Consider the following 24,564-nt stretch of genomic DNA (forward strand, 5'->3'; position numbering starts at 1 on the left):
GAGGGGGTTCCTCAGCCCGGGAAAAGGCTGAGGCCGGCACAAAGAAGCAAGGGCAGGAGGTCAGTACGAGGAGACGGGGACGACGGTACAGAGCAAGACAGAGACACTCACCGAGACAGAGACACAGAGACATAGAGAGAGAGAGAGAAGGGAGTGAGAGACAGAGACAGGCCCCCAGCACCATTGTGGACTCCTGCCTCCAGCTGTTGAGTCTCCCCCTGCACATTATTCACCTATGAAACTTGAGCTGTTCGGTTGGGCCTCATAAGCTGTCGCTACCTGACTGTTTTTTGACCTATAAAAATGGCAGCTTCACAAGGCTTGACCGAATGACAAGAGGGAACTTCTGTGGCTTGCCGCCGAGAGTCCTGGAGAAAGTAGGTTTGGCTGGCGGCCACGCCGACCCGCAGGAGTCCTGCCCCTTTGAAGCCCTTCCCTCTTTTAGATCTGCCGGGTTTACAAGGGGCCCAGGTCGCTCCCGTTCTTGATGATTAATTTTCTAAAACTGGTATTTCTAATTCCTGATGGTAGAACTTCAGGCCCCAGCGCCTCCCTAGGGTGCACGCGTGGGTGCCCCTGACCCAGGATGGATACTGTCTGGCTCTCTTTAGGAGCTGTGGTCAAAGGTACCCCTGCTTGCTGCAGGACCAGGACCGGGGTCCCACTGCCAGGCTCCCCAGGGAGGCCTTGCCCTGAAAGGGGCCCTGGGCAGCCCGAGCTGTGAACTCCTCCTTTGGACAGGGCTAGCTCCTCACCTGCTCTGCTGCAGGCCCGGGTCTGCCTCCACAGCTGCGGCCTCCAGTGGTGTGTGTGGGCTGCAGCTTCAGACAGGGTCACCCTCCAGGATCACTGCAGCCCAGCTGGCTCCATGAGAGGGAGTGCCAAGGGGCTGGAGGATGTGGGTGTACTGGAGTGGGGAGTGGGGAGTGGGGAATGGGGTGTCATAGACCGAGGCCCTCTGGGAATCAATGCCCACTCACACCCGGGGCCCACACCCACCAGGGCCTCACACTGAGCTCCCTGTGGAGCTATGGGTGCAGTTCCAGGGACATACACTGCTTGTCACCCAACTGGAAATATGGGTGGGGCTCTGAGAGTGGACAGTTTCATAAATCTTGTAGTTATCTTGTGCATAACATAACTATGCTGCATCTTGGGGGTCAAAGCACTCCTGTGCGGTGGTGTTCATGGGTGTTAGCATTTCTTTCTTCTGAAGCAATCCAGGAGGCTCAGAAAACCACAGCAGCTGGGTCCTGGAGGCGGATTCTAGGGAATGACTCTCCCTGGCTTCCCCCAAGGCCTCTCTGACCCTGTCCAGCCTCTCCCCCACTCCCTGGAGGTCAGGAGTGTCCACTCTGGGGTCAAGGCTGGGCTCTGCATCTGCACCCGTGTTTGTGACTCTCCATTGCCCTGCAGAAGATGGCATTTAATCCTCCCCGCTGCGGGCCAAGGACAGTGTTGTGAGCATGAAGTAAGCATCAAATACCTTGTGGGTATTCACCTTAGAGGCTGAGTGACTTCCGGTGATCCACAGCCCGAAAATGGAAGGGCAGAGAATCAACGCCAGGCTCTCGGCTAGGCCACTGGGCCCAGCCAGGCCTTCTGCAGAGAAAGGGCATGGCAGCAGGTCCTGGATACTTGGATACCATCGTGCTACTTTTTCTTTGAAATAAAATGTTCATTTTCCAGTATAAAAGTCTAGATGCTACCCCCACCATGTGCCCCACCCCAGCAATAGCTGGCTGAGCTGGAGTGGTCCCCTGACCCCACAGGCTAATACAGTGGCCTTGGGTCTAGGGAGGAGAGGTGAGCTGAGCCTAGCAAATTCTGTCCTTGGGGCAGAACCAGGGGATCCAGGTGTCTGTGCAGGGAGCTCAGTTGGAGGCCCCTACAGGCAAGGGCTGAGGTCGATACTGGAGGAGTCGGCAAAGGAGGGTGGTGCGTGCAGGGAGAAGTGATGAACCCTGAGGAGAGGGAGGGGTGCGGCATCAGGGGGCCCCAAGGAGGAGTGGAGACGAGGGGAGAGGGAACTGGAAAGCGAGAGAGGAGGAGGAGGGGTAGGGCTGGGTGCTGTGGGCTGAATGTCCATGTCTCTGCAACATTCCTGGGTTGGACCCTAACCTCCAATGGCATGGTGTTGGGGGTGAGGCCTCTGGGAGGAGACTGAGCCCTTGTGATGGGATCGGTAGCCTTATAAAAGGGACCCCAGAGAGCTCGCTTCCACTTTCTCCCTCTGCCACTTGAGCACAGCGTGAGAAGGCGGCCATCTCCACACCAGGGACAGGCCCTCGCCAGAATCCGGCCCTGCCGGCATCCTATTCTCAGGCTTCAGCCTCCAGAACTGGGAGAAAATCAACCCCTGTTGGGTTTTGAGACGGAGTCTCACTCTGTCGCCCAGGCTGGAGTGCAGTGGCACGATCTCGGCTCACTGCAACGTCCACCTCCCAGGTTCAAGGGATTCTCCTGCCTCAGCCTCCTGAGTAGCTGGGATTACAGGTCCCCACCACCATACCCGGCTAATTTTTGCATTTTTAGTAGAGATGGGGTTTTGCCATGTTGGCCAGGCTGGTCTTGAACTCCTGACCTCAAGTGATCCTCCTGTCTCGGCCTCCCAAAGTGCTCGAATTACAGCCGTGAGCCACCATGCCTGGTCACCCCTGCTGTTTTGAAGCCCCTCCATCTAGGGTATTTTGCCCTAGTGGATTTAGCTGACTCAGACAGAAGGGAAGGGAAGGAAACTAAGGGAGGAGAGAGAAGAGGGAAACAAGGAGAGAAAGCCCCTCTGTTCCCCACAACATTCCACTTCCGGCTTCACAGAAGACACAGGGATGGTTGGCAAGAATAAGAAAAGAGGCCCAACATCAGGGGTCTCCAGGGAAATGTGAGCTAAAGTCACAATGAGACGCCACCTCACACTGTTCCAAATGAAAAAGACGGCACACACCAAGTGCCGGCGAGGCCCAGGAGAGGCTGACCCGCCACACGTGGCTGGCAGGGATGCAAGATGGTGAGGCTGCTTTGGAAGACCGCTTGGCCGTCTCTCAAACTTACACATCCATCTATCACGTGACCCAGGCTTTCCTCTTCTGAGTATCCAAGAGAAATGAAGGCACCTAACTACCCCAAGTCTAGTGCATGGACATTCACAGCAACTTTATGCGTGGTAGGTCGGAGTGGCTGCAACCAAACGCCCATCGATCGTGACTGGTCACCAAATTGTGGGCCATCGACATGATGACGGCCCATCACTCGGCAACGCGAAGGAACGGACTGCCGGAACACACACGCCTCAGAATAATCACACTGCCTGAGAGGAACCAACCCAAAAAATAGCTTCAGTCGCGTGACTCCATTTTATGTGATGTTCTAGAGGGTGCAGGCTGCTGTGATGTGACGGAGCTGGGCGGTCACTGCAGCGGTGGGGGCGGGGCAGGGCTGTGATGTGAGCTGGGTGGTCACTGCAGCGGTGGGGGCGGGGGGGCTGTGATGGAGCTGGGTGGTCACTCCAGCGGTGGGGGGGGGGGGCGGGGGCAGGAGCAAGCCGGCTGGTGGATGGACTTGTCACCTTGACCTTGGCGATGGTTTCCCAAGAATACACACGTGAAAACTTATAGAATTGCACACTTTAAATATGTGAACTTGACTGGACATTGATTATGCCCCAATAAAGTTTTTAAAAAGTGTATCATGATATGACCGATACCACAGGAGAGGTTGCCCCATGTGTCTGTGTGTGTGGGGGCGGGGGGGGGGTGGGGCATGGCATTTGATATAAAGAAAATAGGAGTTACTGGGACCAAGACATGAAGATGACCCCAGTGGCCCCTCCTACATTGACCAGATCAAGCTTCAGGTTCTGGGAGAGAGCTGGAGTCCACATCCCACGCAAGCCCCTGGCTGCCCCTGAGGGTGAGGAGGGGAAACGGGGCGCCAGCCGATGCCCCAAGCCCCCAACCCCACACCTCACTTCAGCCAACGGCCACTTTTATGTTCTGTCTGACTTAGAGTATGCAAAGTACTTCTCACACCGAAGACTTCAAGGCACACTTACCATCCTGGTGACAGCGGAACCCGCTGGGGGCCCTGAAAGGCCTGGGCTGATGATGTGGTCTTGGGCTCCACACCCTGCCCCAGGGGCGGATGGCGCTATGCCAGTTTCTCTCCAGCCACCAAGACCCATGCACCTGGCCCCCAGCCCGGGTCCTTCTCCAAACATGGACACTTCTCAGGAAGTCTGATCTCCTCCTACCAGCGCCGAGGGATGGCCAAGCCCCCAGCATGGTGCTGATGGAGAACTCGGCCAGTTCCTCTTGTCTATGACCACAGGGCTCACAGCACTCATGGCGGCCCCTGCCCAATCTCTCTTAGACCCTGCCTCAGTTTACCCTGCTGATCAATCTCCAGATGGGCCGACACAGACTGCGGAGGTGTGGCCCAAAGCCAGCCCATGCTTGTTTGGGGCCTTTCTTCTGAGCTTCCCCACACTCCCCACAGCCTGCTGGGAACTCATACCACAGGGCACTAAATTCCCCACCTTCCCCACTGGGAGAGGCAACATCAGGGTAGGGGGTGGGGGTCTTTGGAGGCAGGAGAACAGGCTGGCTTGATGCCTGCTTCTGCTCCATCCCAGCACTGCAACTGTGACTGATCACCTAATGTCTCCCATTCATTCATTCAGTCATTCTTTCACTCATTCATCTGACTCTGGGGCCATGGCTCCTCCCATTTTCACACATTTGCACTTTGCCAGGGGACTTCTAGTGACTGTCCCTTTGCCCATGGGGGTGGCGTGCCCTGAAGGGTCCCCTCCCCTTCTCTGACTCTGCATGCAGCCCTGGCTCCACCACGGAGCAGGAAGAGAAGGAGGGGCTGGCTCTGATGGGATCCACCCTGTGCACTGGGGACCAGGCCGTTCTGCAGCATGGAGCACAGACCGGGGGTCTCAGTCTATGAACTGGGGGATTAGGTCACATGTTTGCTGTAGTGCGAGGACACCCAGGACATGGAAGCCCCTCTGAAACCATTATGGTTGGCAGCCTTACAAAACTCTGACCCCAAACCTCGCTGCCCGGCAAGCTTTCTTTGCTTTCCTTCCCCATCCTCTTCATTTTGCCATGATACCCGGAGGCTGAGCAGAGAGGCCCCGCTATGAGTCCCATCTGTCCTTCAGGCCCTGCCCAACCATCCCCATCCCCACACTCACACACAGGAAGCCACACACACAAAGGGCACATTTCTGTTTCAAAGCCTTCATTGCAGCTGATCCTCTGCGGTGCATTCAAGCTGGGCCCTCCTTGCTCCCTGCTCTGGGTGGGGACAAGGACATCACACTGAGTGGGAAGGACACTGGGGTCCAGGCCAAGCCACCCAGGCGGGCAGCAGAGGAATGGTCACCCAACGGTGACTGTCAAAGTACAAAGGCCAGCCGGATGTGGTAGTTCACGCCTGTAATCCCAGTACTTTGGGAGGCCAAGGTGGGCGGATCACCTGAGGTCAGGAGATTGAGACCAGCCTGGCCAAAATGGCAAAAACCCATCTCTACTAAAAATACACACACAAAAAATCAGCTGGGCATGGTGGTGGGTGCCTGTAATCCCAGCTACTCAGGAGGCTGAGTCAGGAGAATTGCTTGAACCCGGGAGGCAGAGGTTGCAGTGAGCTGAGATTGTGCCACTGCACTCCAGCCAGGGCAACAAATTGAGACTCTGCCTCAAAAAAAAAAGAAAGTACAAAGGCCAACAGAGTCAGCCCCAAAGCGGGGACACAGAGTCCCCTGGGGTGGGGAGGAGACACCAGGCTTTTCTTTATCATTCCCTCTGCCTCCACCTTTGGTGTTTCCACATGTGTTTTGCAATGTGTGAGCGCTTTACAGACTGCAAGTAAGTCGACACTCAGGTGGTGGGTGGGGGGCGCAGGATGAGATGTGTGGAGACTCTAGGGCTGTGAGGTGGCTGCTGACTGGCTTCTGCATAGCCCCCGCCCGTGGTGGGTGATGGGGTGGCAAACTTGGGGGGCGTGGGCTGGATAGGGTGGAGGATGCTGAGCTCCTGTGAGGTTCCTCGGAGCTAGGCTGGGGCCCTGGTAGGTTTTAATTCCTTACGGCAGAATCCCCTGGGCCGTGCTGCAGCCTGGCAGTGTCAGGGGCTCAGTAATTATTTGTTGGTGGAGACACCTGAGCATTGAGAGTCAGGAATGAGCTTCGGTGTGCTGCATGTCCCATTTCCCAGAGTGGAAATGTGTTCCCCCCTCTCCCCACAAGGAGAGCATTTCACGGGCTTAAATTTTGGCAGACAGACTCTTGGAATCTGAGCACCAGGCCATTTGTGTCTACGGGGAACTACCTGTCCCTCAGCACTTCTTACAAGCCCTTTGTTGTCACAGGTGCTGGGATGCAGACGAGGAAAGGAGAGGCTGGGGGTACAGACACGGAAGCTGCAGGTGAAGATGTGGTGCAGAGCCCTCCTGCGAGGGACAGCAAGCGGCTGCGGCAGACCCCATGCACCTCCTGGGGAGAGAGCCGTGCCAGTGGGGAGCACTGGACTTAGAGTCAAAAAACCCACACTCATGCCTGTAATCCCAGCACTTTGGGAGGCCGAGGCGGGCAGATCACGAGGTCAGGAGATCGAGACCATCCTGGCTAACATGGTGAAACCCTGTCTCTACTAAAAACAATACAAAATATTAGCCAGGCGTGGTGGTGGGTGCCTGCAGTCCCAGCTACTGGGGAGGCTGAGGCAGGAGAATGGCATGAACCCGGGAGGCGGAGCTTGCAGTGAGCCGAGATCTTGCCACTGCACTGCAGCCTCGGCGACAGAGCGAGACTCCATCTCAAAAAACAAACAAACAAACAAAAAACCCCACACTCCCAGGCCTAACTCTGCCCTTACCAGCCTGAAGAAGCTACCTGGCTCTCCCAGGGCCTCCGTTTCCCCATCAGTAAGACTGGGATGCCCAGGGCTGCTGTGAGGCAACGAAAGCCCCTGCAAACAGGTTTCATCATACCCTTATCCCTCACTTTTCTCCCCTACTAAATAGGGCAGTAGTGCTGCCAACTCTGAGGGACTGTGAGGGGGGCCATGAGTCAGCAACAAGGACACAGCAGGCAGGTGGTAAATGCCTGGTGAGTGCTGGTGGCTCTCTAGAAATAATGAGTATCACGCAGTTAGCGGAAGGGGTGGCCAGGACACTGTGGGAGCCCAGGAGAGCGCCCGTCCTGCACCTGCCACGGAGGCCACGCCGCTGTCTCCCTCCCTGGGGATGAGCTCCCCCAGTGTCCCCAGCCCCACATCACCAGACGCCAGCCTCTTCCCTCAGTCTGGATACAGTGACACAGACGTGACACCGTGGAGCCCAGACAGCCCCAGGAGGACTCGTGATCCCCGTGGGGTGAGAGGAAGGAAGAGTGACTCAGAGCTGCATTTTTCTGGAAAGCATGATAAGGGATCATCAGTGTCAAAACCCCGAGCTCCAGGCAGGGGCCATGATTTCTCCAGTGACCCCAAGACCACCAGGAATGACCCAACCATGTGGAGAGTGAGGAGGGCCGTGGCCACGCCTGTCTCCTTGGTGGAGCCACTTCATGGCACCCACGGACCACGAGACATCTCTGGGCTGGGGAAAGTCACATGATTCCCTGAGCCTCAATTCCACTGCAAATGGGGACCAAAAGCCACAGGCGGGTTTGCAGAATTGAGCCAGGTAACAGGCGTGGGGTCCTGGCCAGTGACCACCCCCAGGCCCACAGGCACTGCTGCTACTCCTTTTGCAGGGGAATCATCCTTTCCTGATGTGCACAAAATAGATGAGGCAACAGATTGATTTGAGGGGCCAGGACTGGTTTCCCACCCAGGCCCACCCCCACCTGAGCATTCAGGCACTGGACTCGTGGCTCCCTGCCCTGGCTGCACTGTACCCCACAGCCAGGTGGGCTGATAAACGGAGGTAAACTGTGGGTCACCATTCCTGTGTTACAGTCCCGACCCCCACAACCTCAGAACGTGACTGTATTTGCAGATAGGGCCTTGAAAGAGCTGATTAAATTAAAATGAGGCCATTAGGGTGGGCCCTGACCTAGTAGGACTGGTGTCCTTTAAGGAGATGAGGACACTGACACACTGGTGGGGATGACCTGTGAGGGGACAGGGAGAAGGCAGCTGAATGCGAGCCCAGGAGAGAGGCCTCAGGAGGAACCAGCCCTGTTCCATCTTGATCTCCCATTCCAGCCTCCAGAATGTGAGCCCACCAACGTCCCGTGTAAGCCGCCCAGTCTGTGGGGCGTTGTGGTCAGCCTGAGCTGACTCAGACACACGAAGACACACTGACTTAGTGCGGTGCCATGGCATCTCATACACTGTACTCTCGCCATTGCACAGACAGGGAAGCGGCCTACAGATACGGCGCCTGTCCAAGGTAGGACTCGAATCCCGGCAGGATGCCTGCAGGGCACACTGTACTTCCCAGAACCACAACAGGCTGCAAGAAACAGAGACTCCTGCTCCCCCAAGACAGGAGGAACGCAGATTGCTTTTGAACTTTTATTCCAGCCCCGCAAGAGTGGGTTTCAGGAATGGCACCTTCCCTGCTCACCTGAGGATGGTGATGTTGTTGGCACAGAAGGCGAGGTCTCAGGGGGACAGGCGCATCACGACGCACAGCCTTCCCATCCTGGACCACAGCATTGCACGGCCCAAGAGCTCGTGGCCACGACGGGCTCCGGAGGCCCACATCCTTCATTTGCACCATTCTGGTACTGACAGTGGTTCCTCCCCTGTGGAGTAGACAGCGTGTCCCCGAGAAGGTGGGGGGCCCTGGGCCACGTCTCACAGGCAGAACCTTCATCTCACACCATCATGAACCAGCCAGGTGCGTGACCTCATGCTTGGTGTCATCGAATCTGCTAATTTACATGAAATGGAGCAACAGGATGGCCCATGGAAGATTTTAGCCCAGTTCAGAGATAACCAAGAGATTGGTTTTCTTCTCAAAGGGGGATGATTGCTCTTTCCTTGGAAATGTTACTTATTCATGATGGTTTAGATGTCGGGGATGCAATGAGCCCAGAGACCATCTGCCGGGTCACTCTCAGCTCTTCCCTGGCCTCCCCACAGGATGGGCGGCCTCCCCTTACAGCGCATTCCCACACACCTCAGCACCAGCCGGGCGACCCCATCCACCCTCTGCCCAGCTGTTGCTGAATAAAGGGACGTGGGAACCTGAACACAGAGGAGCATGAATGCAGGTGAGAACGAGGCCTGTGCTGGATCCAGGGGAGTAGAAACACAGGGCTGCACACCCTAGGCCCTACTCTGATTTATTAAATTAGGTCTTGCTCAGTCTCCAGGTCCAGCTCACCCCTGGCAAGGTGGCCAAGGGCATGGATGCATCCCCAGTCCAACCCTGCCCTGTGCTGGGCGTGGGGCATCATATTTCTCAAGAAAATCATTTCCAGCCAGTGAGCTCACTGGGCTACCTTAGCAACTACATGAAACACAGATCAAAGTCCCTCATAGGAGCATGAAGTGTCCCTGAAAAGGCCCAGCTGTGGGACAGGACAATGGTGGCTGCCTCTGAGGACAGCCAGAAGAGGCTGCAGCTGGCACTACATCCCTTCCCTTCCTTCTGCCCAGAAAGTGGCGCTTGCAGGCCACCCCATAAGGCAAAGCCCAGTCTTGGGTGATGGTATGAATGTAAGACAGGCATGGATGAGGCTGGGCCCCAGGTGGCATCTCCCAGGCCTGGGCGGTGATGGCATGAATGTAAGACAGGCATGGATGGAGCTGGGCCCCAGGTGGTGTCTCCCGGGCCTGGGCCGGATCCCAGGACCCCCGGTGTCCCCGGGACCTGTCCTGTGCAGGTCAGCCTGCTGTGGTCAGCAAAGCCACGGCTGCAAGATGTCTACGCCCTAATCCCTGGGACCTGTGTGACCATAAGCCGCAAAAGGGACTTTGCAGATGTGATGAAGACCTGGAGATGGCCCTGATGTTCAGCGTCATCACAAGCGTCCTGATAAGTGGAGGAGGAGCCGGGAGGAGCAGAGCTGGAGAGGTGAGGATGGAAGCAGAAGTTGGAGGGATACGCTGTTGGCTGGAGATGGAGGACCACAAGCCAAGGAACACAGGCGGCCTCTAGAAGGTGGAAAAGGCAAGGAAACAGGCTCTCCTGGAGCCTCCAGCAGAAACCAGCCCTGACCACACCTTGACTTTAGGCCAGTGAGCCCTGCATTGGACTTCTGGCTTTCACAACGCTAAGATAATAAACACGTGTTGCTGGAAGCCACCAGGTTCGTGGTGACTTGCTGCCAATGCCTCAGCCACGGGAAGTGCACAGCTGACTTCTACAAGGCTGAGAACATCAGAAAGCCGTGGACATCCACCAGGCTGCTGCGAAGGGACACTTTGCAGACCAGCCCCTCCCTTTTGGTCATTAATAAACAGGGGCGTGGGGTGGCTGGGCTGAGGCACAGCGCAGCCTTACTGGCTACATTTTGCAACTGAAGACCCTGTAATGAGCCACAAGGTGAGAGCTCAGCCCTGTACCCCAAATGGCCCCAGTGTCCAGGGGGCCACCAGCAGGGTGTCTCTGAACATCCCTTTGTCACTGCAGACCGTGCCAGCCTCCAGAATGCTCAATCGCGTCCCTTACCCTCCTGCAGGATGAAATTGGACCGCCAATGAGCGGCGTGGGCCTGCAGCCTGGGCTGCTGGGGACCCGGCCTTGTCTGGGCAGTCTGGGTCTGCTCGGTGTTGCCAGAAGAAATTGTGGGCACCTGGTGGCACCCACGGGGGCTCAAGATGAAGGAGGAGGGAGTGGTGTTTTGCCAGGACCAAGGACAGCGCCGTGGCACTGGCTCAGCGGTTACAGGAGCCACTTCCTCCCACTCTTCAGGCCTGAGGCCGCTTCCCCGCTGCTGGCTGCCCAGCCAGAGCCAGGGCTGGGGCAGGCGGGAACAGCGAGGCCAGCAGGCCACGGGCCACATCTTCATGCCACCCTGAGACCACAAAGCCTGTGCTGCTCTCAAAGTCTGGAGCCAGTTTGGCTGGGGGGACCCTGGGGGGCTCACCTCCTGTTCCCTCTGTGGGTCCCAGGATGCTGCAGCACACACGTGTGGGTATACACCCCACACTCCTCTGTCACTCTGCCCTGACCTGGAGCCCACCAGGTCCAGGGGCTCTCAAAGTTCTGGCTCTTCCCCGTCATCAGCACCTAAGTGTTCGTCACTGCGAGGCCTTCTGAGGAGCCACCAGGGAGGGGGGATGCCAGATCTAGGGGCAAGAGGCACCTGGACCAAGAATAGATTAAGGTTCAGGGCACTCCCTTCTCCAGAAATCACCATGAGGATCTCCATCAGGGACGACGGCAAAAGTAAGTCTAGCGTTTGAAGGGCAAGGGAAGAAAAGCTCTTGTAGTCACTGAAATAAAACCACAAACCTGACTGGCTGTTCCAGTACCTTAGGAAAGGCCTCTGCCTTCCTCAAAGATGGCATCTTCCTATCTGAATGGTATATTTTGTGTTACATTAAGGTTGTTGGTGCTTCAGTTTTTGTTACTGTTTTTTTTTTACTTCTCACCAACACCATAACTCACTGTACTTTAAAGCTAGCTAGGCCAGGTACAGTGGCTCATGCCTGTAATCCCAGCCCTTTGGGAGGCTGAAGATGGCAGATCACTCGAGGTTGGGAGTTTGAGACCAGTCTGGCCAATATGGCGAAACCCCATCTCTACTAAAAATACAAAAATTAACCGGGCGTGGTGGCACGTGCCTGTAATCCCAGCTACTCGGGAGGCTGAGGCAGGAGAATCACTTGAACCCGGGAGGCGGAGGTTGCAATGAGCTGAGATCGTGCCACTGCACTCCAGCCTGGGTGACCGAGCGAGACTCTGTCAATCAATCAATCAATCAATCAATCAAGCTAGCTAGCTGAAGGCAAAGACTGAAGTTGGGGCCTGGTGCACACAGCAGCATTCCATGAGTATAGAGAGTCCAGCCCTGGAACTGGAGGAACTCACCCCAAGCCTCACTCTGCCAGCTCTGAGCTGTGTGAGCGGTATGGCCCCTGGGAAGCCACTTAATCTCTTTGGACTATGATTTAATGTCCTGTAGAGCAAAGCTCCTGATCTCCTCTCTTGGGCACACGAGGGTTGGGGCCGTAAATGTTTGCCAGCTCTGCCCCGAGCCTCATGCCCACAGAGGCCATCCTGCCTCCCCTAGGAGCTGCTGGTCAATGGGAGGGGACAGATCCCGGGCCAGGTCCAGTCTCCTTTCCCTGCCGAAGAGCTGAGGCCAGAGGAGGGGTTGGCCTGGGGAGACAGCAGACAGACCCAGGGCGGAGAGTCCAAGGTGCCATCAGTCAGAGAAGGCCTTGCAAAGAAAGCAGAGAGGGGCTCCACCCCAGGGGGCCAATGCCGCCATCCTCATGATGAGAAGGGGCCTGGCATTGGCACCAGCTGAAAGGACCACCTAACTGTCCCCACACATCCGGGGCCTCCAAGCCGCTAACTCTACTACTGCTGACTGAATGCCGTGGAGGCCGCCAGCCCCGGCCGGATCCAATTAGCTCATGCACACATCTGCAAGTGACGGGAGGGCTGGGTTGAGATGCTCTCTGCTAGGCCTGCTCGGCAGATGGGACCCACTCAGCTTCCCTGTGGAGTCCCTGAGCCAGTGTGTCCCTCTGAGCTCCCTATAGAGGCGGCAGGCAGCAGATATAAGCTCAGGTCCATATCTGACCAGTGCGTGCAGGCTAGGCAGCGGGAGGATACGCAAACCTCTCCCCTCGTTCACTGAGGGTGGCCCTGGAGCGATGGGCCTTCACAGGTCCTGGTGGGCACCCAGTCGGGTGTGGGGATGCAGGGTCTCACTTCCGATGCTGTCGGGGTCCCTGAAGGGGCCTTATCCCAGAGATGACAGCCGAAAACACAGCGTGTCACAGGCAGCATCTGTGTGTGCTATGGTGGTGTTCTAGAAGCTGGCGGAGCTTCAGAACCACCTGGGGGGCTTTAGACAAATGTAGACCCTGGGCCCTCTCCCTGGTGATCTGAGTCAGTCAGTCTGGGCTGGGGATGGGGGTGGGGTGTGCGTGTCTGATGAGCAGGACCCTCAGGTGTTGGTGAGGTCTGAGAAGCCCCAGGAATCACTGGCAGGGTCTGCTGTGCAGCTCACTCTCCTGAGGCTTGCAGCAGGCTCGTGGGGCCAGGGTGCTGCCCTGTGGCTGGGGGTGCAGCTCAGCACTCTGACAGCCACATGGAGCGGGGGACAGAGGGAAGATTGGGGGAGAATCTGCATGGTGCCTGGCCCTGGGGCAGGGGCACTGGGCTGTGGCTGAGAACATGTAAGGGAGTTACGGAGGCCAGAGCGGGGATGCCTTCATCTATCTACGGGCTCAGGTATGGCTCCAAAGATGGGGGATTCCCAGGCTGACTCCAGAAGGCCTAGCAGCATGTCCCCAACTGATGCAAGAGGTGGGAGGAGGCCTTGCTGGCAGAGGGAGCATGTGGCGAGAAGGTGACCTGGAGGGCAAGGGTACAGGGCCAGGATAGAGCCAGAAGATCCAGCCGCAGAACAGGGGCCAGCGTGTGGCAGCAGCATCCACAGTGCCCTGATCTTCGGGGCTGTGGCACAGGCAGAGGGAGTCCAGTCCTGCCCTGTGCCTACAGCACAGCAAGTGCTCGGTGAATACTGGCAGGTGCGATTTTCATGAGCTCTGATTCTTGCAAGGGGCTGGCTGACTTCTGGCTCCAAGGAGGGCAGTGCCAGGAAAGCGCAGCTAAATGCCAGCTGCCCAGATGGCACGGAAAACATGCACTCCGGGTCATCGAATCCCAAATTCACTGGGGTTGAGCCCCCTCCATCTTGAGTGGCTCAGGATAAAATCTGGAGCCTGTCCACTCCACGCTCACTGTCAGGAGCCTCCTAATGAACCATCGAGGCTGTGTGTCCCTTCTGCAGTCTTTTGTCCACCCAGTGGCCAGAACGATCCTCCGCAACCCAACAAGATCTCACCATCACCCCACGGTATAACGTCTGCGGGCTGCCCGCTCCTCACAGGTAAAAGCCAGCATGGCCCAGTGGCCCACAGGTTCCCACGGCCTGGCCCAGCCATGCCTCCCCTCTCTCCCTTGCCACTCTCTGCAGCTTGCTCAGCCCAGCTGCACAGCCCTCCTGCTTCCCTCTAACCTCTGGGCATGGCCTGACCACCGTGCATGACTCTGCAGCCACCGCGAGCATGCTCCTCAAGGTCTCATCCCCGGCCGACCCCCAGAGCCATTCAATTATCGGCCGTGATGGCTGCCTGTGACTCGGGTCTACCTGCCAGCGCTTTGGCTCCACTCTGCCCTTGGTTGGCCCCTGATGTGTCCCCAGCTCTGAGAGTGGGGCCTGGATCAAGGGCACACTTGCGGGTCTGGTGAGTCCGAAGGTAGGAGGTAGTTACTAAGCCAGGCATCCTGGCGCTCGAATCACATGCAGGGCTGAGTCTGTGTTCCGATCCCGTGTGACAGGCCTATCATCTGTGTCTTTTATTTTCTCTTTCTGATGCTCTGGCATCCAGGGTTTTGCTGACCCTGGAGGGATGGCCCCTCAAGAATCAGGCAATTCCTAGAGAAAGTAAACAGCTCACCTGAGAGCTGGATTTTCAAATGCTAACCAACTAAAACAGAGGCCACCCCACCCCTCCTCTATCCGGGTCCCATGCTCCCAGCCACTAACCCTGCCCCCATCACCCCAGGGCTGGGTACCGGACAGCCAGGGACAGGCCCTAGGCCCCAGAGCTCTGAAATGATTCCAGCTGCCAACGCTAAACCCACTTACACTGCCTACTTAGTCTGCTCCTTCCTGCAGAAATCATGGTAAAGCTCCTGTCCACATTTCCCCCCTCTCCCTCTGCCTCCTAATGGACCTTGTGCTTCCCTGAATGGCCCCCAAGGCATGGCCTCCCCTACCTCCTGGGAAGAGTGAGTTAGCAGCTGTCCCCCTGATCCGTTGGTCTCGCCATACCTGAATAATAATAAAACCTACATTTTAAAACACTGCGGTACACAGGACCTGCCTGACAAAGGATCCAGGAAAGCAAGTCCCTGAAGGCAATTGTTTTGTGTCATTCCACTACATGTTCTGAAAAGAGTGGCAGTGCTGGCACGGTCTGGTGCATGCTGGTGCCTGAGATCGTCAGCGGAGACGCAGAGGCCTAAGGGCTGGAGGACAAGCCCCTGAGCTCCGTGGCTACCACCCCAGGGGCTTGGATGCACTGGATTTTGTGTGTGGGGGCATGGTGAATACCGCCTCGCAGCCCCTCTGAGCTGGCACAGCTCAGGCCACAGCACGCCCACTCTGGCTCAAGGGAAATGGTGCCAGGCTCTGGGCCCTGGGAGACCGCCTGACTCGAGGGTGGGCTCCTGATCACAGGTGGTCCATCCACTGGCTGGCAGGGGCTAAAGCCAAGAGCTGATGCAAAGGGCACTGCCAATGGGGCAGGGATGACCAGTAGAGCCAGCTGGATGGGCTGATTTTTGAAGCAGAGAATTTGGGACCAGTGACAATAGAACAGACTGGCAGAGTGGGGCAGGGACAGCATGAGGGAGGAATGGGGAAGCAGCCAGTCGGTAAAGCTGCCCCAGGTCCTCACAGCTCTAAGTCCCAGGCCACACTGCCCTGCAATACTCTCCAATTTCACCTGGCATTTAACACAAATTGACCAGAATCATTCCCTGTTCTTTGTTCCTAATAAGGACAGGCTTGCTTTTATCCAGACATCCATTCATCCATCCACCCGCCCACCCACTCATTCATTCATCCATGTATTCACCCATCCATCCATCTCTCTTTTCATGTATCCATCTACCCATCTATCCCTCCATCCATTCATCCACCCACCCCACTACCCACTCATCTATCCATTTGCCTACCCATTCACCCACTCATTCGTCCATCCAACTAGCCATCCATCCATCCATCCATCCATGCATTCACCCATCCTCTATCCATCCATCCACTTAACTACCCAACCACTCATCTATCCATTTGCTCACCCACCCACCCACCCACCCATGCATTTGTCCATCCAATTAGCCATCCATCCATCCATGCATCCACCCATCCTCCCCCCATCCATCCATCCACCCATCCTTCATCCATTCCTCCATCCATCCATCCATCCAACAGCTATCTGAACTGTTTAATGACAACCTCCCATAGGGAGACAGCTGGGAAAAAGACCGATTCAACCCTGACCTTGTGGAGTTTGCAACCTGCAAGTGACAACTGAACAAGTAGCCACGAGTGTGGTGAAGTTTCTTGGAGAATCGCACAGGTGCCTGCCCTGGGTTGTGTAACATGGTGGAGGCTATTCTAATTAGGGGGAAGGTCAGGGAAGGCTTCTCTAGGATGTAACTGTCAGGACTGAATGTCGCCCAGGAGTCAGCAAGGGAGAGAGGAGTGCTTGAGGAAAGAGAGCTGTGAGGTGGGCAGTGGGGGCAGATCAGGAAGATGGGAATGGGGTGCCTCCTCAGGGACCCTCTGGAAGAATCTTTAAAAGCTGGGCACAAGGATCACTTGCGCCTTAGAAGGCTTGCTGGGGGCAGGAGGGGCAGGTGCGAATGAGGGAGGTTCTGGGGCCGGGGTCACCTATTGGCTTCTCTTAAGGCGTGGCCGGGGCTAGTGGCAAGGAGGGCCCCAAGGTGCTGCATAGCTTGTCACTCAGAGCTGGGCAGCCTGGACACACTACTCTTCACAGAGACCTCGGAAGCTAACTCCGAGGCGGCCCCTGCATGGCTGGCCAAGGGGCACATGCTGGGACGCAGACTCTCAGTACAGATCGCCAGCCTCTGGCACCGTTGCTGTGGAAACCAACTGGCAATGAGAAATTTAGCAATTTGAAAAAAGCATTTCCTTCCCTTATTTATATCTCTTGACCCTTATCCTAGGGGAATGGCGAGGGAAGCACGGCTCGCAGCTGGAGCCGGGAGTGGGCAGGTGTCTCGAGGGTACCGCTCCCCGGAACGGGGAAGGACACCAGTACCTCACCCCCCCAGAGTGGGCAGAGCCTAGAGACGCCATCCCAGAATACGTCACTCCTGGGAAAGATGAAAATAATGCAGAAAAGGCAAAGTCTCCCTCTTCCCTCCCCCACCTCACTCCTCTCCCAGAGACGACCTCAAACGTCACTCCGAAGATTGTTATTCGAGGTCATTCTCCATGCACCGCTGGGCACATGCAGGAATACAGACACATGCCAGTGCTCTTGTTGAACAAAATGGGGTCACACTCTAGCCCATGGCTCCTCTGCAGCCCACTCCCTTTGCTGAGGGCCTGTGTTGCTCTCCCGACCACAACACTAGGGTTGTTGCGTCACTTCCACTGCCGTACAGAGTTCCACGGCGAGCTGGGCCGGGCTTTATGAAAGCAGTTCTCTCAGATGTCCAGGGATGCCACGCCACATGAATCACCAAGAAATGAAGCAATGCACTTGCCAGTCCCTCCTCTAAATGCTTTCTCTAAAGGCAGCCTGGCCAACAGGACCCCTAACTAGACAGGCCCTAATGGGGCAGAGGGGAGAAGCGGGGAGAGCGATCTGGAGAAAGGAGCCTGTCGCGGCACCACGGGTACATCTGTAAACATGAGAGTCAGGGAAAAACGAAATTGGTCTGGGGCATTCTACGCAGCCATCAAAGGCATGGATGACAGTGCTTACCGACAGGAAAAAATATTCCCCACATGTTCAGAAAAAAAGGGTAGGTTACAAAATGGTATGGAACAGCGAGTCCGACATTCAGAGAAAAGGTATAAAAAAGATGCAGAGGCATATCTTGTTTTATTACCCCTTGCTTTATTGTGCTTTGGGGATACTGCATTTGTTACAAACTGAAGGTTTATGGCAACCCATTGTTGAGCACGTCCAGTTTTTTTTTTTTTTTTTTTTTTAAGAGATGGGGTCTTGCTCTGTCACCCAGGCTGGAGTACAGTGGCGAGATCACAGCTCACTGCAGCCTCAAACTCTTGGCCTCAAGTGAACCTCCCACCTTGGCCTCCCCAAGTGCTGGGATTCTGGGTGTGAGCCACTGTGCCTGGCCTGAGGCAAGTAAATCTGTTGGTGCCATTTTTCCAATAGCATGTGCTCACTTCATGTCTCTGTGTCACATTTTGACAATTCTTGTAACATTTCAAACTTTTTCAGTATTATGATATCTGTCATGGTGATCTGAGATGACTGATCTTTGATGCTTCTATTGTAATTGTTTTGGGGTGCCATGAACTGTACCCATATAAGACAGAGAAATTAACTGATAAATGTTGTGTGTTCTGACTGATCTATCAACTGGCTGGTCCATCGTCTCTTCCCATCTCCTTGGGCCTCCCTATTCCCTGAGACACAACAATATAGAAATTAGGCTGATTATAGCTCTTATTTCACATGCCAAGGGAATAAAAAAAGAAATAAGGCCAATTAATGATCACACAATGGCCTCTAACTGCTCAAGTGAAAGGAAGAGTCACTCATCTTTCACTTTGGATCAAAAACTAGAAATGATTAGGCTTAGTGAGGAAGGCATGTCAAAAGCTGAGATAGGCTGAAAGCTGAGACAGTCCTCTTGCACCAGTTTAGCCAAGCTGTGAATACAAAGAAAAAGCTCTTGAAAGAAATTAAAAGTGTTACTGCAGTGAACACACAACTGATAAGAAACTGGAACAACCATATCACTGATATGGAGAAAGTTTTAACTGGTTTGGATAGAAAATCAAATTGTCCACAACATTCCCTTAAGCCAAAGCCTAATCTAGAGCAAGGCCCTAACTCTCTGCAATTCTATGAAGACTGAAGAGCTGAGGAAGTTGCAGGAAAAAAGTTGGAAGCTAGCAACTTCCATCAAGTTTAAGAAAAGAAGCTGTGTTCTGTAACGTAAACACGCAAGGCAAAGTAGCAAGTCTTGATGGAGAAGCTGCAGCAAGTTCTCCAGAGGATCTAGTTAACTTCATTGATGAAGGTGGCTACACTAAACAACAGATTTTCAATTGAGACAAGACATCCTTCTTTTTTTGAGATGGAGTCGCGCTCTGTCGCCCAGGCTGGAGTGCAGTGGTGCGGTCTCAGCTCACTGCAAGCTCCGCCTCCCGGGTTCATGCCATTCTCCTGCCTCAGCCTCCCGAGTAGCTGGGACTACAGGCGCCCGCCACCACACCCACATAATTTTTTGTATTTTTAGTAGAGACGGGGTTTCACTGTGTTAGCCAGGATGGTCTCGATCTCCTGACCTCATGACCCTTCCACCTCGGCCTCCCAAAGTGCTGGGATTACAGGCGTGAGCCACTGCGCCCGGCCAAGACAGCCTTCTATTGGAAGAAGATGCCATCTAGGATTTTCATAGCTAGAGAGGAGAAATCGATGTCTGGTTTCAAAGATTCAAAGGACAGGCTGACTCCCTTGTGAGGGGCTAGTACAGCTGGTGACTTTAAGTTGAAGCTGGTACTCATTTCCCATTCTGAAAATCCTAGGGCCTTAGGAATTATGTGAAACCTACTCTGCTTGTGCTCTATAAATGGATCAACAAAGCCTGGATGACAGCATATCTGTTTACAGCATGGCTATTTACAGCATGAATATTTTAAGCCCATTGTTGAGATTTACTGCTCAGAAAAAAGAGATTCCATTCCAAATGTTACTGCTCATGGACAATGAACCTGGTCACCCAAGGTCTCTGCTGGAGATGTAAAAGGAAATTAATGCTGTTATGCCTGCTGACCCAACAGTCACTTACAGTCTATGGATCAAGGAATAATTTTGACTTTCAAGCCTCATATTTAAGAAACACATTTTGTAAGGCTATAGCTGCCATAAATAGTGATTCCTCTGACGGATCTCGGCAAAGTCAATTGAAAACCTTCTGGAAAGGATTCACCATTCTAGATGGCATTAGGAACATTTGTGATTCATGGGAGGAGGCCAGTATGTCAACATGAGCAGGAGTTGAGAAGAAGTTGATCCCATCCCTCATGGATGGCTTTGAGGGGTGCAGGGGAAGAGGTCACTGCAGATGTGGTGGAAACAGCAGAAGAACTAGAATTCGAAGTGGAGCTGGCCGGGCACGGTGGCTCACGCCTGTAATCCCAGCACTTTGGGAGGCCGAGGCAGGAGGATCACGAGGTTAGGAGATCAAGACCATCCTGGCTAACACAGTGAAACCCCGTCTCTACTAAAAATACAAAAAAAATTAGCCAGGCGCGGTGGCGGGCGCCTGTAGTTCCAGCTACTCGGGAGGCTGAGGCAGGAGAACGGCGTGAACCTGGGAGGTGGAGCTTGCAGTGAGCTGAGATCAGAGATTGCGTCACTGCACTCCAGCCTGGGCAACAGAGGGAGACTCTGTCTAAACAAACAAACAAACAAACAAAAACAGAAGTGGAGCTGAAGATGGGACTTAAACGCTGCAATCTCATGAGAAACTTGAATGGATGAGGAGTTGCTTCTTAGGGACAAGCAAAGAAAGTGATTTCTCGAGATGGAATCTACTCCTGGTAAAGATGCTGTGAACATTGTTAAAATGATAACAAAGGATTGAGAATATTCCATAAGCCTAGTTGATAAAGCAGCAGCAGGGTTTCAGAGAAAAGACTCCAATTCTGAGAATTTCTGCTGTGGGTAAAATGCTATCAAACAGCATTGCATGCTACAGAGACACCTTTCATGAAAGGAAAAGTCAATTGATGTGGTAAACTTCATTGTTGTCTTATTTTCAGAAATTGCCACAGTCACCCCAGCCTTCGGCAACCACCGCTCTCATCAGTCAGCAGCCATCAACATTGAAGTGAGACTCTCCAACAGCAAAATTATGATGACTCGCCGAAGGCTCTGATGATTGCTAGCATTTCTCAGCAATAAGGTATTTTAAATTAAGATATGCACACTGCTTAGACATGATGCTATTGCACACTTAACAGACTACAGGATAAACATAACTTTTCTATGCACTGGGAAACCAAAAAAAAAAAAAAGTGTGCATCTCGCTTTAATGTGGTATTTGCTTTCCTGTGGTGGTCTGGGGCTGAACCCACAAATATCCCCAGGTCGGCCTGTGCAGAAAACAAGAGCTGAGAGTCATCCTGGAGTTAACGAGGCTCCTCTTGGGGCCAAGGCTTTCATGCCTGGCAGATTCATTGCTTATAATTAGTATCCCTCTCCCCAGTAGATGTTATCTTTTAAAAAAGGAAAAGACAAAGAAATGGAGGGAAAGGGAAGGTCTACAAATGGGTCAGAAAAAGGAAGGTAGAGACCAGGCATGGTGGCTCACGTTTGTCATCCCAGCACTTTGGGAGGCCGAGGTGGGCGGATCACTGGACCTCACTTGAGGTCAGGAGTTCGAGACCAACCTGGCCAACATGGTGAAACCCTGTCTCTACTGAAAATACAAAAATTAGCTGGGTGCGGTGGTGAGTGCCTGGGATCCCAGCTACTAGGGAGATTGAGGCAGGAGAATCGCTTGAATCTGGGAGGCAGAGGTTGCAGTGAGCAGAGATCATGCCACTGCACTCCAGTATGGGCTACAGAGACAGACTCTGTCTCAAACAAAAAGAAAAAGAAAAAGAAAAAGAAAAAAAAGAAAAAAGAAGGTAGAAAAGAAAGAACCAAAAGATAGAAGAAGGAGCCGGAATCCACAGAGCCAATCTGTGCAGATAAATTACAGGAGTAAGCGCATTGCCCTGGACTCAAACGCTGTCAACTTCTGGAGATACAACATTTGCTTTTCTTAAAAAAGAAAAAGAAAAAGAAAAAAAAAGCAACATCATAGCTCCATTTTTGTCTTCTCCAAGGAAACATAACACATTTCAACAACTTAAAAAGGGACAGGAAGACCATGTGAAAACATCCTGAAATAGTGTTTTCTCTCAAGGGCAGACCTGAGCTACACTGATCTCCTGAAACATTTTTTAAAATGCAGAGATGTGGGCCGGGCGCGGTGGCTCACACCTGTAATCCCAGCACTTTGGGAGGCCAAGGAGGGTGGATCACTTGAGGTTAGGAGTTCGAGACCAGCCTGGCCAAAAGGGTGAAACCTCATCTCTACTAAAAATACAAAAAAATGAGGTGGGTGTGGTGGTGTGTGCCTGAAGTCCCAGCTACTCGGGAGGCTGAGGCAGGAGAACCGCTGAAACCGGGAGGCCGAGGTTGCAGTGAGCTGAGATGGCACCATCCAAGATCGCGCCATCGCACTCCAGTCTGGGCGATAGAGCGAGACTCCGTCTAAAAAAAAAATAAATAAATAAAAAATAAAAATAATAAAAAATAACAAGCAGAGGTGTGGAGACTACATTTAAACAGGGCATGCAGGAAGCCCAGTCCCTGTCAAGCCTCTAATACTCTCCTGTGGCTCAGGCTGTGAATTGATGTGTGCTGACCGCCGGCCTCCTCACTCTACCTGCTCCGTCTTCCCTCTGCACGCAGGGGACAGGGGAAAGACAGAGGCAGCTGTCGCTGGTCCCCCAGGGGACAGCCAGGGCAGGTGAGGACTGGGTCCTGCCTGGGGAGGCTGGCACTGTCTTTGGGTCAGTCCGAGAGGAGATGCAGTCTGCTCCCACTCGGAGTGAGAGGCAGGACTTCTGCTGACTCGGGTGGAGCTTCCACGCAGGCTTTTGGGTGGGACGTGGCCACCAATCTGATGCAGCCAACACAGACTCAAGCAGCACACACCCAGCTCTGCATCCCAGCACACCCCCTCCAGCCACGGCCAGGGGAGTCTTTCTGAAGGCCGTGCGGCATCTCGGTGGCCCCCCTTCTGCCCAAGGCGGGTCTTGGGCAGCCTCTGTCCCTCTGTCTGCACCCCCCGTTGAGGGCAAATGTGTGCAGCCCTGGTCCTGGCCTGCTTCACCTCTTAGAACAAGGGCTGTGTGGTTAGGCCAACTCCCTCCTCCAGCCCCCTCCCATTTCGGCCCATCATCTAAGCAACAGTGGCTGCGTCTGCCCTTTTGCTATGGCCCAAGGCAGCTGCGGATTCCCATCCATGCTCCTTCAGCCCTGCAGCCATGTCCCTCTGCATGCACCTTCAGGGACCCGATGTCCAGCAGAGGGACACCCAGACATCCCCACCTCGCCTGGGGTAGCACTCAGGGTTTCCAGCCTCCTCGGCCCTGCCCCCAGGCCTGTCACCTACGTGATGCAACCCCAAGATGTCCAGCAAACCCTCGCCGAAAGGAGGGACTCACGAAGGGAGCCTGCAGCTATCGGAGGGGTGGGTCCCAGCCCTGGCCTCGCATGAAAAACTTCCCACGTCTGTCTGGCCCCATAGTTCGGGGAAGGCCTGTGGCTGCCCCTGCTGCCTGTCAAAGTCCTCCCAGCACCATTTCCAACATGAACGCACACTGTCCCAGCACGCGTAGGACTTTGGTGGCATTTTTGGCTAGGTGTAGCTCCTCTACTTATTATATTCTATAATTTCTCAGCAGTCTCCACGCAGTTCTGAGAACTCTTGCTGCATTGAGAAAAATCTAACCTACAGCCTGTTTTTAAATGAATGTTGCATTTAACAGTGAATGAAGGTAGGATATAGTAATTAAATATTTACTAATCTGAACATTCTTGCTGCCTTTTTTTATTCTGGGGCTGTGAAATGTTGTTTCTAGATCTGGATCCTGGAATGCTCAAGAGCTCTTACACCAAAGTGGTCCTGGAGGAGGCTGGTGCTGTTTCATCAGACTCAGCCTCAGTTTCCCCACCTGGGCATGGTGGCTACCTCGCCTGCCTGCCCCACGGGACGTCTGAGCAGGTGTGTCAGAAAATACTAGAGTGGCAGGAAGGCACCTCCCACACCTACAACACCCCCAGGGAGCTCTGTCCACAACCAACTCCTGTTGAGTGAATGAACGGAGTGAAGAGTGAGCTAAAGGGCATTCAGTGTCAGGAGGCCTGGGGCAGGGTTGGGCAGGTTACATTCCTGACTTTGTGGGCAAACGGAGTGTCCACCTTCTCGAGTGACAAGGACTCCAATCTGGATCCCTTTGGCCTCAGCTGGAGGGACCTATGCAACTGTTATCATTAGTTCCTTCGTTCGTTCGTTCATTCATTCATTCATTCATTCAATGAATTGCTACAGTCCAGATGCTGTTCTAGGCTCTGGTGATACAATAGTGACTGATGCACATGTGGGACCTGCTGGTGTCAGATGCTGAGTGAACCCACGTGGAGGGTGTGAGGAAGGGATACAAGTGCCAGGGAGGGGCTTGCAGAAAGAAGGGTGGACCAGATGTCCTCCAGGGCCTCTTCCTAGGCACTGCCGTGTTGGAGCTGCCCGATTCGTAAATCGCTGCTTGCTCACATCAATTCTTTAAAATTTTATTGTGCCTCAGCTGACTTTATAAACAATGCCCATCCACAGATGAATGAGTCAACAGTTGTGGTCTACCCACACCATTGGATATGATTCGGCCACAAAAAGGACCGCAGCTTTGACATGCCGGGGCGTGGGGGATGCTCAGCGACTTCATGCCAAACACGAAAGATCGCGTTACGTGAGTCCACACACGGTTGCCCTTGGTGCACTCTGGAGATCGGTCCCAGGACCCCAGCACAGACCCAAATCCAAGAATAT

General features: G+C 54.2%; 1 protein-coding gene across 32 annotated transcripts in view, besides 7 other annotated features; it reads right to left on the reverse strand.

The window, feature by feature from the left end:
* The window catches only part of SHANK2 (SH3 and multiple ankyrin repeat domains 2), a 785,381-nt gene that overhangs the window by 101,953 nt on the left and 658,864 nt on the right, over nt 1-24,564 (reverse strand). The window lies entirely within an intron of this gene.
* Nucleotides 6,775-7,275: an enhancer, noted in NCBI's record as "H3K4me1 hESC enhancer chr11:70422686-70423186 (GRCh37/hg19 assembly coordinates)". NCBI's record gives its function as "activates a minimal SCP1, AML or CMV promoter by ChIP-STARR-seq in naive H9 embryonic stem cells {active_cell/tissue: H9 hESC(naive)}" and the evidence as "EXISTENCE:reporter gene assay evidence [ECO:0000049][PMID:30033119]".
* Nucleotides 7,276-7,776: an enhancer, noted in NCBI's record as "H3K4me1 hESC enhancer chr11:70423187-70423687 (GRCh37/hg19 assembly coordinates)". NCBI's record gives its function as "activates a minimal SCP1, AML or CMV promoter by ChIP-STARR-seq in naive H9 embryonic stem cells {active_cell/tissue: H9 hESC(naive)}" and the evidence as "EXISTENCE:reporter gene assay evidence [ECO:0000049][PMID:30033119]".
* Nucleotides 9,304-9,805: an enhancer, noted in NCBI's record as "H3K4me1 hESC enhancer chr11:70425215-70425716 (GRCh37/hg19 assembly coordinates)". NCBI's record gives its function as "activates a minimal SCP1, AML or CMV promoter by ChIP-STARR-seq in primed H9 embryonic stem cells {active_cell/tissue: H9 hESC(primed)}" and the evidence as "EXISTENCE:reporter gene assay evidence [ECO:0000049][PMID:30033119]".
* Nucleotides 12,805-13,307: an enhancer, noted in NCBI's record as "H3K4me1 hESC enhancer chr11:70428716-70429218 (GRCh37/hg19 assembly coordinates)". NCBI's record gives its function as "activates a minimal SCP1, AML or CMV promoter by ChIP-STARR-seq in primed H9 embryonic stem cells {active_cell/tissue: H9 hESC(primed)}" and the evidence as "EXISTENCE:reporter gene assay evidence [ECO:0000049][PMID:30033119]".
* Nucleotides 13,308-13,809: an enhancer, noted in NCBI's record as "H3K4me1 hESC enhancer chr11:70429219-70429720 (GRCh37/hg19 assembly coordinates)". NCBI's record gives its function as "activates a minimal SCP1, AML or CMV promoter by ChIP-STARR-seq in primed H9 embryonic stem cells {active_cell/tissue: H9 hESC(primed)}" and the evidence as "EXISTENCE:reporter gene assay evidence [ECO:0000049][PMID:30033119]".
* Nucleotides 13,810-14,312: an enhancer, noted in NCBI's record as "H3K4me1 hESC enhancer chr11:70429721-70430223 (GRCh37/hg19 assembly coordinates)". NCBI's record gives its function as "activates a minimal SCP1, AML or CMV promoter by ChIP-STARR-seq in primed H9 embryonic stem cells {active_cell/tissue: H9 hESC(primed)}" and the evidence as "EXISTENCE:reporter gene assay evidence [ECO:0000049][PMID:30033119]".
* Nucleotides 14,864-15,404: an enhancer, noted in NCBI's record as "H3K27ac-H3K4me1 hESC enhancer chr11:70430775-70431315 (GRCh37/hg19 assembly coordinates)". NCBI's record gives its function as "activates a minimal SCP1, AML or CMV promoter by ChIP-STARR-seq in naive H9 embryonic stem cells {active_cell/tissue: H9 hESC(naive)}" and the evidence as "EXISTENCE:reporter gene assay evidence [ECO:0000049][PMID:30033119]".

This window comes from Homo sapiens, chromosome 11 (genome assembly GCF_000001405.40).
Source record: "Homo sapiens chromosome 11, GRCh38.p14 Primary Assembly".
In the NCBI taxonomy this organism is placed as follows: domain Eukaryota; kingdom Metazoa; phylum Chordata; class Mammalia; order Primates; family Hominidae; genus Homo; species Homo sapiens.